Raw genomic sequence first — 13,360 nt, forward strand, 5'->3', positions numbered from 1 at the left:
CTCTGTATTACATACTTTATTACATACATGCAGAGTGAGGTTAATAAGGTAATGAGGTAATAAGTCACACTGCATTACACATGGTTTTTTATTTTCTTTCTCTCTTTACAGGATTCACCTGTGAATCCTCTAAAATCATGAAAAACGAATATGTGCATGTACACATTTTTATCACATTCTTAGAAACCTCTAAGACCTACGAAAGGGTAAGTACTGCCCCATAAGAGTGATGTCAGACGGCTTTCTTATTCTCTTGTTAGCCCCAGAATTTAGTAGGGTGCTTGGCACACAACCTGTGTTCAATACTGGTTACTGAACATTGAAATGAACATATTTTTCTTATATAACAACAACAGGAGGTCAAAAAGCCACATACTTGAATAAAAGCCTTTGATGCTGGTATTGTTCAGTGACTCAGCAACAATCGCCTTCAAACTGCTCTTACTCCGGGTGTCACTTGCATTCAGTTCCACGTAGCTGTATCCCAACTCCTAATCAAAATATTGGAAACCACTGAAGGCACAATACAAATTAACTCCACCACCCCCGCCAAGAAAGGCCAGTTAAGAAAGAAAGAAGGTACAAAATTAATATAAAAACCCATAGGTAAAGTATAAAGTATGATACTAACAGACAATGAGATTAACTATAGTATGCCTTACAATATTAGAAATTTTTAGAATATCATATACATACATATAACATACACATACAAACACAAATAAGTTTGGTCTTAAAACTTCAGCTGACAAATCACTAATCTGGAAGAGTATATTCAAACAAGCAATTTTACTAAATTTACTTCTTAAAGTCCTAAAAAAAGGATTAAACATAATCATCCCAACAATTCACTATCAGACACAGAATTAATCTAGTATAAGATACCAGCCAGGTGCGTTGACTCACACCTGTAATACCAGCGCTTTTGGGAGTCCAAAGTGGATGGATTAATTGAGGTCAGGAGTTTGAAACCAGCCTGGCCAACATGGTGAAACCCCATCTCGACTAAAAATACAAAAAATTAGCTGGGCGTGGTGGCGTGTTCCTGTAGTCTCAGCTACTCTGGAGGGTGAGGCATGAGAATCACTTGAACCTGGGAGGCAGAAGTTGCAGTGAACCGAGACCGTGCCATTACACTCCAGCCTGGGTGGCAGAGTAAAACTGTGTCTCAAAACAAAAAAATAAAATAAGATATCAAAAAGTAATCCTCTCTAAGATAATTTATAAAGTTAAATCATTCTTTGTCACGACACTATCCCAATAAACTATTTTCCTCTGAAATCAGGAAAATTCAAATTCTTCTGATTCATTTCCCAAAACTGATTACCTTATGCCTTAATTCATAAAAAATATAATGATAATAATAAAGAGAGAAAAAGAGTTGTGTTCACAACTGTAGGGACTAGGAAAAAAATGTTGTTTTGCTTTTTCATTAATGTTTATAAACACAGTGGAAACAGATAAAATTTTATTTAAATTTTATGCAGATGCATACAACAAAAAAACAAAAGAAACCACAAGCTTATGCAGCAGAGGATTGAGAAATCCAGCAATAAATTTCTAATCTCTTATTTCATCACTGTGATACTAACACGTGAACTCTGATCTGCTCTAGTGCCTAAGCAAGTCAAGTTCTCCCATTGTCTACAGGGATTCAGTAGCAATAGAGACAATAGGAACGAAGGCAGGATCACACAGTGCTGAAGAGCAGAACCCTGAGTCGCGCTACCGGGTGAAAACTGGGCCTCCACCCTCCTCCCTAAGCCTATTTCATTTGACACATGTGGATGATGACAGTACAGATAATTATTCAGTACACAGAATTATTCAAAGGCATTAAGATATTTGCATCTTTCAGAGTCTAGAATACATGTTTTTGTTATCTATAATACACCCACGTGCTTAGTACACTGCCTCGCTCGTTGGTAAGTATTGCTTATTACTTTAATTACCAATATTTTAAAAGGATTAAAATTACAAACATCGCCAGAACCAAAACAGGTTCTAAAGGTTTTATCTTAGAAAAATAAACACAGTTTATATATAGACACCACACACACACATGCACACGCACAGATGTGGGTACACACTTTTATCTCCTAGCCATGACCACTCGAGGTTATCTGTCCGACCACACTGTGACAACGCACCCACCTGACACACCAGGGAAGCTGTGGTGGTTTTGCCAACACCAGGAGGGCCTGACAGCAACGCTGCTTTAAAACTAGAGCCATCATCTTTGCCGGAAAATTTACCAAACTTTGCTGCTAGGAAAAAAGAAGTTCCAGAGTGTCAACCTATATCACCTAACAGAAATTCAAGCATGGCAGAAATAGTTATGCCTAAACTTCACATAGACAGCTGTCCTCCAGTTTAGTTCTAAATTTGCAGACTATTTTCTACAAAGCATAAACAAGTTTCCAGAGCATTCAGTGAAATTCTACTTCCTACCTCACCCCCACCCAAAATAAAAAACTAAAACTAACTCACTTAAAACTCTTGATTTGAAATAATAATTGTATGAGTTTCCTTTCCTGTGAACGCACAGGCCATGGAGCACGCTGCCGGGGCTCGATCCCAACTCCATCCATCCTCATGCCACCTCTCACCAGCCGTGGGTACTTTAGAAGTGACTTAGCCCCTCTGTGCCTGCCTCCTCCTTTGTTAGATGAGGAGAACAACAGTAAAGTTGCTGCTAAGGATGTTGTGAGGACGGAATGGCTGAGCACAGAGCCATGCAAGCTTCACTAAATGTTAACAAGCATAGTAGCTACATGGTCACAAGAAGAAAAAATGACTTGAAGATGCTGCGTCTGCAACTACCTTGTGCCCCTCAACACTACAGCACTCTTCCTCCCCTCACCACGTGAGCACCTGGCACATACATCATGCTCAACTCATACTCAATAACTGACAGAGACAATGGTTTTCAACCTACTGCCAGCGGGCATGAAGACAGGGACTAGAGTTCACCCGAAGCTTTAAAACAGTCTTCTTGGCTGGGTGCGGTGGCTCACGCCTGTAATCTCAGCACCTGGGGAGGCCAAGGCGGGTAGAGCACAAGGTCAGGAGTTCAAGACCAGCCTGGCCAGCATGGTGAAATCCCATCTCTACTAAAACTACAAAAAATTAGCCAGGCATGGTGGTGTGCACCTGTAGTCTCAGCTGCTCAGGAGGCTGAGACAGAAGAATCACCTGAACCCAGGAAGCAGAGGTTGCAGTGAGCCAAGATCGCACCACTGCACTCCAGCCTGGGCAACAGAGCAAGACTCTGTCTCAAAACAAAACAAAACAAAACAAAAAAAAAACAGTCTTCTCCAGGCACATGAAATGCCTGTCTCCTCTTTTAAGGGAGATTTTATGAAGTTTCAGAATGAAAAAAGTGATTTAACTTAAATTTAGTCCTGTATCATTACAATATATTATTTTTATAAATAAACAGGCATCATTGGCAATGATGATTGGCAATCTAGTCATCACTGGTCTATGTTGAAAACACTACTAAAACATTTGTGATCTCAAAGCTCAGTTAAGAAAATACTTTGGACATTAAATACATATTGGAGCTTTTCACTCTCCACGACAAATAATACATCATAAACAAGGACAGAAACTACAGAAGCACAGGCCTATCGGGCCTGCCACAGCAAATCGTGCTTGCTACTGGGAGTTTAGGCTGACTGCCCTGCACGCATGCCTCTGTTATTTATTCACAGCTTTCCTCCTAGTGCCCTTGCCACTCAGGGGTCTTGCTGTCACATGGCTTCAGACCTTGGGACACATACTCTTTCCTACCCAACACTCATCTCTCCCTCCCTTCACCTAGCTAGCTCCTACTTTGTTTCCAAGTCTTAGCTTAGCCATCCCTTCCTCTGGGATGGGAGCACACACACCCTGGCCCTGACCACACATCTTCATCCTCACAGCACCCTGGACTTACCCCTCTAGCAGTACTTGGCAAATATATTTTAATGGCTGGTTCAGATATGCCTCCCCCACTGCCTGTGAGCTCCTGAGAGGGACTGTTTTGTTCACAACACCACCAGCAGGGTCTAGTACTGCACCTGGGTTCAGATCAAGCTCTTAATAAATGCTTGCTGACAGATGAATGAATCGTTAGATTTTCTCATATATGTGCCACTGAGCAATCACATGTTGATATACACACACACAAAAATGAGTGAGGTTGTAAAATCACCGTGTTTTTTATCTTCGGAAGAACTCTTTTGCCAGTTTCGGAGCCAGCGTAGGAGTTTGTTGGCACAGCTCTGGTCACCTTGCTGTCCAATTATGGTCTTGAGCGAGGTTGGCTTATATTTATCCACCCAGAGCAAATTTTCCACTTTGTTTTCACTGCTGTCATCAGCCAAATTCCTAGCCTTGCTGTCACCACTTGTCTCCTCAGCCACCTGCTCCTTGAAATCCAGGCTTTTCCAAAACACATCTGTTTCCTTTTTTATTGTCTTTGCCAAACTGTCCCTTTTGGAAGTCGGCCTGCTCTTTTTAGATTCTGATTCCTTTTTAGATGGACTAATTTTTCTTTTTCCTTGGACATTTTTTTGGGGTGTTCTCTCCAGTTTGGACTCTTTCTTCATCTTAAGAAGTGGAAAAATGAGGAAAAAAGAAACCTGATGAAACATACAGAATTTCTATCCTGCTAAACGTACTACAGAGAGCAATCAGAGATATCCAAGTGGGCTACTCAACCTGGGCTGGTCTTTTCACAACAGACTTTCCTGTTTGTGGAAATCACCACCTTCTAAACTATAAAAATTAACAAACACACCAGAAACCACCAAATGCAATTTCTAAAAGTGACAACACGTTGATTTTTAAAAGTAATAAGTACTCCAATTTTAGTTTGAAAAAAACAAGGTACAGTGTTGAGATTTTTGTTTCAAAGTTTCCTAATTAAAAGTTAATGCCTCGACAAAAACTTGTACACAAATGTTCATAACCACATTATAGCTAAAAGATGGAAACAATCCAAATGTCCATCAACTGAAAAAGAAACAAAATAGGATGTGTCCACACAATGAAATATTATTTACCCCTAACAAGGACTGAAGCACTGATACATGCTACAACCCAGGTCAACCTTGAAACCACTATGCTAAGTGGAAGAAGCCAGACACAAAAGGCCATATATTCTAATGTCTCCATACACACGTGAAACGTCCAGCATAGGAAAATCCATAGAGACAGAGCAGAGCAGTGAGTGCCACGGGGTGGATAGAATGAGTGGCTGCTGATAGGTACAGGGTTTCTTTTCAGGGTGAGGAAAATGTTCTGGAATTACACAGTGCTAATGGTTGTATACTCTTGTTAATATACTAAAAACCACTGATTTGTATACTTTATAAGGGTGGATTTTATAGTATGTAATATCTCAGTTTTTAAAAAAATTAGTGCCTCTTTAGCAGTGGATGCTAAAATTAGTGGATGAATGTTTAAGGACAAACAGGATATAAGCATAAGTACCTCCTTCTCCTGCCAAGACAGTTATCGATTACAAAGGAAAAAATAGTCACTTTACTAGTGAAGGAACCCAGCACTAGTTTCAGTGGGATGCTGAATCATCTTAACCAAATAATCAAGATTATCCTCACTAATAATAAGACGTTATTGACATCCTGTATCTATGATAGGATGCACTGAGGACACAAGATCACATCCATGGTGTTCTTAGAAAAAAGGCATAACCTCAACCTAATCATGAGAAAACATCACAGATCCAAACTGAGAGACATTCCACAAAACTGACCAGTACTCATTAAAAGTGTCAAGGTTGTAAGAAGACAAGGAAAGACTGAAGAAATGTCATCGACGGGAGAAGACTAAGAAGACACAACTAAATGCAGTGTGGGACCCTGGAACAGAAGAACTACAGGGAAAAATGTAAGGTTCGAAAAATATGTACAGGTTAGTTAACAATACGGCATCAATGTTAATTTCCTGGTTTTTATAACTATGCTATGGTTATGTAATCGAAATCATTCCCTAGATTTCTCTAACCGGAATAACCTGGATGGACCATCTTGCCATTTGGGTGACAGAGCTGGGGACATTAAAATCTTGGAATGCTGGCAATCCTGTGTCCTGTGTGTAAAAAAAGATGGTCTACAGTGGGAATGAATGAGGCTAACTAGTAGAAACAGAGAGACAGAAACTGAAGGGGTCCTCACAGCTTTGTAGTCTGTGGATCCAATAGTTCCTAGACCAGACCCTCCCTGCCCATAGTTTAGTTATGTGAGCCAACATTTTTCCTTTTGCAAAAGCTAATACAGGCTAGGTGTCTGCACAATTTAAAAAGTCCTAATACAGTTCTAATTGAAAACAAATTTATCATGCTAATACCTATTAAAATATCCTTTAAGGAACTCTTAAACAATAACCTTTGCATAAAGTCAACGTGAGAATATGGCCGGGAACAGTGGCTCACACCTATAATCCCAGCACTTTGGGACGCTGAAGTGGGTGAATCACTTGAGGTCAGGAGTTCAAGGCCAGCCTGGCCAACATGGTGAAACTCCGTCTCTATTAAAAATATAAAAATTAGCAGGCGTGGTGTCAGGTATCTGTAGTTCCAGCTACTCAGGAGGCTGAGGCAGGAGAATCGCTTGAACCCAGGAGGCAGAAGTTGCAGTGATCCGAGATCACACCACTGCACTCCGACCTGAGGGACAGAGCTAGACTCTGTCTCAAAAAATTAAAAAATAGTAGTAATAATAGTAATATGGAAAATAAGGAAAGTTTGATAAGTAGATATGTTATATGCAATATACTGTCCTTTCTCTACTCATATTCCCTGACAAAGATAAGGAAAAACAACAAAGTAGACATCTTGAAGCAGAGTCTTCCAGCTCAAAAGGAACTAAGGTGGTCCATTTGTGGTAGACAGGGATGTTAATCTTTCAGCCAACAAGCCTGTATCCACCCAAGACATATGTCTATGAAATTAAAAAGTTAATATACACCAACTTAAATCACATTCATTTTATACGAACCTCAGTTTCAACTGCTATTTCATACTTGGATTTCTTGCCTGGCATAGTCCGAATCAGATTCAACAGGCCATCTTCATCAATAATTTTTGTCCCCAAGGCTGCGGCCTGTTGATTAAAAATGTAAACCATCAAAACTGCATCCTGCATCCTACCATTCCCTTCTCTTACAAAAAAAAAAATTCTAGGGCCTATTAGTAGGTGAAAAACCACATTCGTAAATTAAGATAACACTGGAATTAAAAAAGAAAAACAAAAAATAGCACATTCATTGAAAAAGTAACATTGAAAAGAAAGAAAATAACAGATACATTCCCTAAGAGTAGCAGGTTGGCATGGGAAGTGGTCCATTTCTACTTTTGTGGACTGCTTTACCTTTCCTCCCCTAGAAAGGGGCAATGGCCACTAGGGCCTAAGACCAGCTCTTCATACCTTCTCCCATATTTAATGCATATGGCAGACATTTCCCCCACCTTCTTCCCTGCTGATGGAACTCCAATGTGTCCTTCTTCAAGTGATGAATGATGACTGGTCCAAGGCAACCAGAAACGTCTTGGTTCTTCCCAACCTCCCATACAGCTCTGAGTGGCCAGGTGACAGCTCTGGCCAATGAGCCTTATGTGAAATTCTATAAGACATGTTTCTGGGAAAACTCTCGTCAGGCCAGTCACAGCTCTTATGACATACTTGCCACTGTTCCCTTTTCCTGCCTTGAATAAGAATTTAAATGCCTAGAGCTGCAACTACCTTGCAACCACAAGGCAACATGCATGAGGACAAAAGTTAACACAATAAGGACAGATGGAGGAACCACATCGTTGAGATGCCGAACTATCCCAGCAATACCTCCAGAATTCTTGTGAGAAAAATTAGCAGCTGTTTAATCCACGGTTAATCAGATATTCTGCTGTTTGGAGCTAAACACAATCCTACCCAACAGGCCGCTGATTCTTTTTCTAAAAACACCAATTTAAAAAAACCTAAGATGGTGTATACAGTGGCATATATAGGAATACTTCGGACTGGAAGAAAAAGAAAACTGCATTTGTTTCTATCTTCAAAAATAAAAAAAGACTTAAACTTAAATACACTAAAAAAAAGTCAAGTAAACAGGAACTATGCCTTCCATTGGAAAACCAAAATCCTGGTGTCAGAGCCAATAACACTTCTGTGGAGAAGAAATAATGTAGGCAAGAAATTACTTTTCTATTTCTTTCCTTCATTTAACTCTGAGTAAAGGGCAAATCACATCAAGAGTGTGCCAAGGCAGGCAGGAGGTGTCATGGTGTTGAGAACAAAGCAGTACCCACCTTATCACTCTTGGACTGTCCACTATCACGACCCATGACAAGATAATTTGTTTTCTTGCTGACATTTCCTGTTACTTTTCCCCCATAACGTTCAATTAGAGACTTGGCCTCATCTCGTTCAATAGACTCCAGCACGCCTGTGATTACAAATATAAGGCCTTCCAAGCAATTTTCAGCTCCCTAAAAACCAAAATGTTCAAGCAGAGAGGAAATTACATGGTAGCTTTCCAAAGAAACATTTGGCATCAAAACTGCAGGAAGTTGATTTTTCTCATTTCACATCATAAATAACCTTGGCATGGAAAGTTTGCTGGAAATTTACAGCAAATAAGCACCACCTGAAATTAGATCCTAAGAAATTTTGATATGGCTAACGTTTAATAAACTTACAAAACAAGCAGTGAAAAACATACATCCAACACTGTTAGCAAAGCTATTAAAATTACCCATTCATACTATTTTCCATTATGCCCTCTTCATATCTAAACTACTAGTTAACTTGCATAACTATAAATAAACAACCAAATGCAATCCATCTGTAGAAACTCTTGCTATTCAGGAAACTGCTTGTTCTTAAGAACTTTCCCAACAAGAATTTAATAGAAGCAGGTATACTCCTATCATTTTGATGTTTCTGTTAATGTTTCGAAACAATGTACTTTAAAATCAGAATCACTTCTTATCATTTTCAAATACTTCTGATGCTTTTCACCACATTAGTGATCAGAAATGAGGTCTAATTCCCCAATCCCTGCCCGCAAGAGCTAAGTAGGATCTTAACTGTAAGTTGAAGGGAGTTTTGCCCGAACTCATGGATTGTACAAGAACAAACTGCTGCTGGGTTGGATGGTCTGCCAATGGATTGTGGTGTGGCATATCTGAAGGCTACTGAATGCAACTTATAATGCTTAATAAAAAATTTTTACTGTTTTATGGGAAAAAAGGGAAAAAAGGCAACTCTTGCTATTGTTAAAAAGGGAAAGTTTTGATTCTAAAAAGCTAAGCAAGTGTGAGCTCGTGCCTTCCTCTCTGCTCATTACTCTAGGATAGTAAATCTAGCAATCTTCTAGTAACTTAAAGGCAAGATCGTATTATCTCTGGATTGGAAAGATAACTCTCATAATGTATAATATAAGAGATACTTGCCAAAGAGAGCTGGATGGAAAAGACATTAAATCTTAATTGGAACTATGTTGAGTTATATATTTTTGCAATGGTTCAATAAAATTATACAACCAAACAAAATGAAAATTATACATGACATTCCAAGTTACTTATTACTCTTTTAATAGAGAATTGAGATTAATAAACTTAAAATGGGCTTGAAAAGCAGCAGCCAACCAAAATTCAAAGACTGCCTCCATGTAAGTTCAATCCTTCACCATTCAGATGAAGAATCTTTCTCGGAAGACAAAAAGAAACAGCTATGAAGGTGCTTGGAAAGAAAAGGTTTGACTAACAATATCTCAGGGTCCCTTGAAGCCTTTATGGGTTCTTGGATTGAAATGATCTACTGTAACACTACAGGAACTTAACTACTTCTGAACAAACTCAAAACAACCCTGGAAAAATTGCACATGCAAGCCCCTATATCCCATATCCCAAACATCTATTATCTCCCAAATTATCACCCACTATGGCTCTGATTATCTTTTTACTTATCCAATCTTAGCACTTCTAGCCTCCCTATCAAACTCTTCTATTCTAGAATTTGGCTAAGCTCTTACTCCAGGAGCAGCCAGCCACCCCTAGTATCCTCAACCTCTTCTCCAACATTCCCTCCATAGCCTTGCCTTCACTGAAACCTGTCTGTCCCCTCAGGGCACCACTTTGACTGAAGTCCTCTCAAGCAGAACTTGTTTGGTCTCTCATACCCATGTACAGGAGGCAAGACTGGCATCTTCCTGCAGGCTCCCATAAAACCCATAAGCCCCTTAAGGCCGACCTTCTCGCTCCCCACTCCGGTCCCAGCTACACCATCTCTCCCTCTCTTTATTAGGGGAGCTATTAATCTCTATATGTACTTATATATACCAAGCAAACTGAAAATTAAATTTATACATATATTGTATACTTATCCCCTCCCCTCCTGCCTTCTTAGAAATCTCATGCTACAATTGATTCTCCTTCTCCTGCTGGTATAACTTCCATCTCTCCCTTTCTGGTAGGATCTATCCCATTAGCAAAACGCATGCTTTAAATATCTCCTACCATAAAAATACTTAAATCTCCCCCTAAATTCCACTTTCCATTCTAGCTAGAAGTCACTTCCCCTTCTAGTCCTTCTAGCTAGAAGTCCTCCCACTTCTTTCTCCTTCACAGCCAAACTTATCAAAAATATCTACTTTTGCTGTCTCCATTTTGTCTCCTCACACTCACTCTTCCACCCGCTTCCATCAGGCTCTGCCTCCACTGTCCTTAGCTCTTGCTAAGGCCACTAAGGATCATTAATTCATGTTACTAAATGGAACAATTTCCGGTCTTCCCTTACCTGGAATCTTAACAGCATGACAGACTTAACTACTCAATCATTTTTGAAATACTCTCTCTTCCCTTTGCTTCTGTGATCCCACGCTTATCAAACTTCTCTCCCATATTTGTAGCTGCTACTTCTCAGTTTCCTTTTGGTTTCCACCCTCTTCTACTTCACAAAGAAGCAGGGGCCAAGGCCCTCTTCTCTTCTTGTTCTGTACTAGTTTACCAGATGCTATTAATCCCTTCATGCCAAGAATGCCCAAGTTTGTCCATCTAGTTCTGACTTCTGTTCTAAGCTCCAGTCCCACATATCTGCTTGTCTACTCAGCATCTCCATGTGGACATCTCACATAACCCTAAAGCACAGTGTGGCCAACAACGAACTCATTATCATCTCCCCAAACTAGCCCTGCCACCAATCGCATGATCCACCAAGCTGCTCATGCCAATAACAAGATCATCCCCAATACTCTTTCTTCTCACTTTCCACTTCAATTATCACCAAGTCCCATAGATTTTGCCTCTTCTAGTGAAACCTCTCCACTTTTCGACATTTTCACTGCTCCCCCAGACCAGTCCCTATCACTTCTCACCATCTCTCCTGATGATCTCTGTGTAGCTATTTCTGCCCCATCCACAGCACTTGGTACATCAGCAGCCAGAGCGATCTTTCAGAAATTCAAATCTGGTCATGTTATCCCTCCACTTTAAAATTCCTTCTCGGCCGGGCCCAGTGGCTCACGCCTGTAATCCCAGCACTTTGGAAGGCCAAGGCAGGCAGATCACCTGAGGTCGAGAGTTCGAGGCCAGCCTGACCAACATGGAGAAACCCCATCTCTACTAAAAATACAAAATTAGCCAGGCATGGTGGCGCACGCCTGTAATCCCAGCAACTCCAGAGGCTGAGGCAGGAGAATCGCTTGAACCCAAGAGGTGGAGGTTGCCGTGAGCTGAGATTGCGCCACTGCACTCCAGCCTGGGCAACAGGAGCGAAAACTCCATTTCAAAAACACAAAATAAAAATTCCTTCTCTTAGACAAAAGTCTTAAACATTAGGCCCTGCAAGATGTGATCCTATTAACCTCTTTGGCCATTCTCATCCCTTGGTCACTATGCTCCAACCATAATTTTTCTTTCAGTTCCTCAAACATACCATGCAAGAACCTTCCCCCTGCAGGAACATCATACATTCTGGCCCCTCTGCCCAGACCACCACGCCATCACAACCCCTTCACACCTGTTGAATCCCTTTCATTCTTCAAGTCTCCATTTAAATGTCACATTCTACATGCCCCACCAAGGACCAGGTTCCTCTGTTATACTACCTAAGGGCATCTTAGATTTTTCCCTCATAGCACATATCCCAATTATAATTAAATTATTTATTTAATGTCTCTTTCTTTAGGCTATAAGTGCCATGCAAGCAAAAACATTAGTTTTGTCACTGGTATAGTCTCAAAGCTCAGCCTTTCTAGGGCTACTTGTTATTTAAAGGGAAATTTTTCTAAGTATCAAGCAGTGATTCATAACATGAATAAACATCCCTAATTCTTGAAGACAGTAACTGAAGCTTTTCTGTTGCTCATTTTTAATTATTAATCCTCTGCTGCTATAATCATCGTGAATACATACATGGACCCATACGGCAGAGGCCCTCACAGAATGGCATGCCCTCTCAGTACTCTTACCTTTGGTATTTCTTTGGAGCCCAGAGCCTTGGGACCTTCTCGATTTAAGTAGCTTCGATAAGCTTGATAATTAGTGCGTTTCTTTTCAGAATCTTCAGGACTTACAGACTTTGGGAACAGGGAAAGGAAAATGAACAAAGTCATACAGAATTCATGCAAAATTTAAAATACATATCTAGAAATAAACATTATTTTTATTGTGTCACTTCTGTGTCTGGCTGTGAAATTAACAGTTTTAGCTACACAAGTACTTCCTAACTTACAGACAACTGACTTACGAACATCCCTGCATCAGCGCTTCTCAAAACTTTCCACTCTCTAAAGCCACACACCTCAGGGCAGATTATGGGAATAAGCCAAGTTGCCAGCTCCAAGCAAAGAAATGCAAAAAGTGTTTTACTTTAGGAATTCACCTGAATTTTAAATTATATTTCATGATATATCCATATATCCATGTTTAACGGGAAAATACATTTTTTCCCCAAGTAAACCTGATCGCCCGAGAAGATATTCTGTGTTAATCCTATGACCTTCCATGCCCCTAAAGCACCAGCCTGCATCCCTAAGGACATAAGCATTCCAGTAGGAGAATCTAAACAGTCAGCTCAAAGAAGGTACAAGCTTTACTCCAAAGAGAAGACACGTTCTCTATGCTATTTCATCTCCTCCCATTCTACTTCTCTCGGGGAATTTACCATAGGTATATCTCAGAAAATCCTGGGGAAACTTTTCAAACTATGCATCCCTAGATCCACCTCCAAGTTTCTCTTTCGGAGATATGGGGTATGGCTAGAATGTGTTTATGTGGGGGAAAAATATCTTAGATAGCTCTCATTTAAGAACCACTATCAGGTGTTTGTTATTTTTCCACTTCCTATTTTAA

General features: G+C 40.1%; 1 protein-coding gene across 7 annotated transcripts in view; it reads right to left on the reverse strand.

The window, feature by feature from the left end:
• The window catches only part of RFC1 (replication factor C subunit 1), a 78,907-nt gene that overhangs the window by 16,982 nt on the left and 48,565 nt on the right, over nucleotides 1-13,360 (reverse strand). For 2 of the 7 annotated variants that reach the window (NM_001363495.2, NM_002913.5), the window contains 6 exons: nucleotides 12,478-12,585; nucleotides 8,315-8,494; nucleotides 7,008-7,112; nucleotides 4,199-4,595; nucleotides 2,155-2,264; nucleotides 377-491 (listed from right to left, as the gene is read on the reverse strand). In NM_001363495.2, the coding sequence (NP_001350424.1) occupies nucleotides 377-491; nucleotides 2,155-2,264; nucleotides 4,199-4,595; nucleotides 7,008-7,112; nucleotides 8,315-8,494; nucleotides 12,478-12,585 (1,015 nt within the window). Of the gene's footprint in view, nucleotides 1-376; nucleotides 492-2,154; nucleotides 2,268-4,198; nucleotides 4,596-7,007; nucleotides 7,113-8,314; nucleotides 8,495-12,477; nucleotides 12,586-13,360 lie in introns of all 7 variants that reach the window. The other 5 variants (NM_001363496.2, NM_001204747.2, XM_047416054.1 and 2 more) reach the window with 3 other exon arrangements.

The sequence above is a fragment of the Homo sapiens genome, chromosome 4, assembly GCF_000001405.40.
Source record: "Homo sapiens chromosome 4, GRCh38.p14 Primary Assembly".
Lineage (NCBI taxonomy): Eukaryota > Metazoa > Chordata > Mammalia > Primates > Hominidae > Homo > Homo sapiens.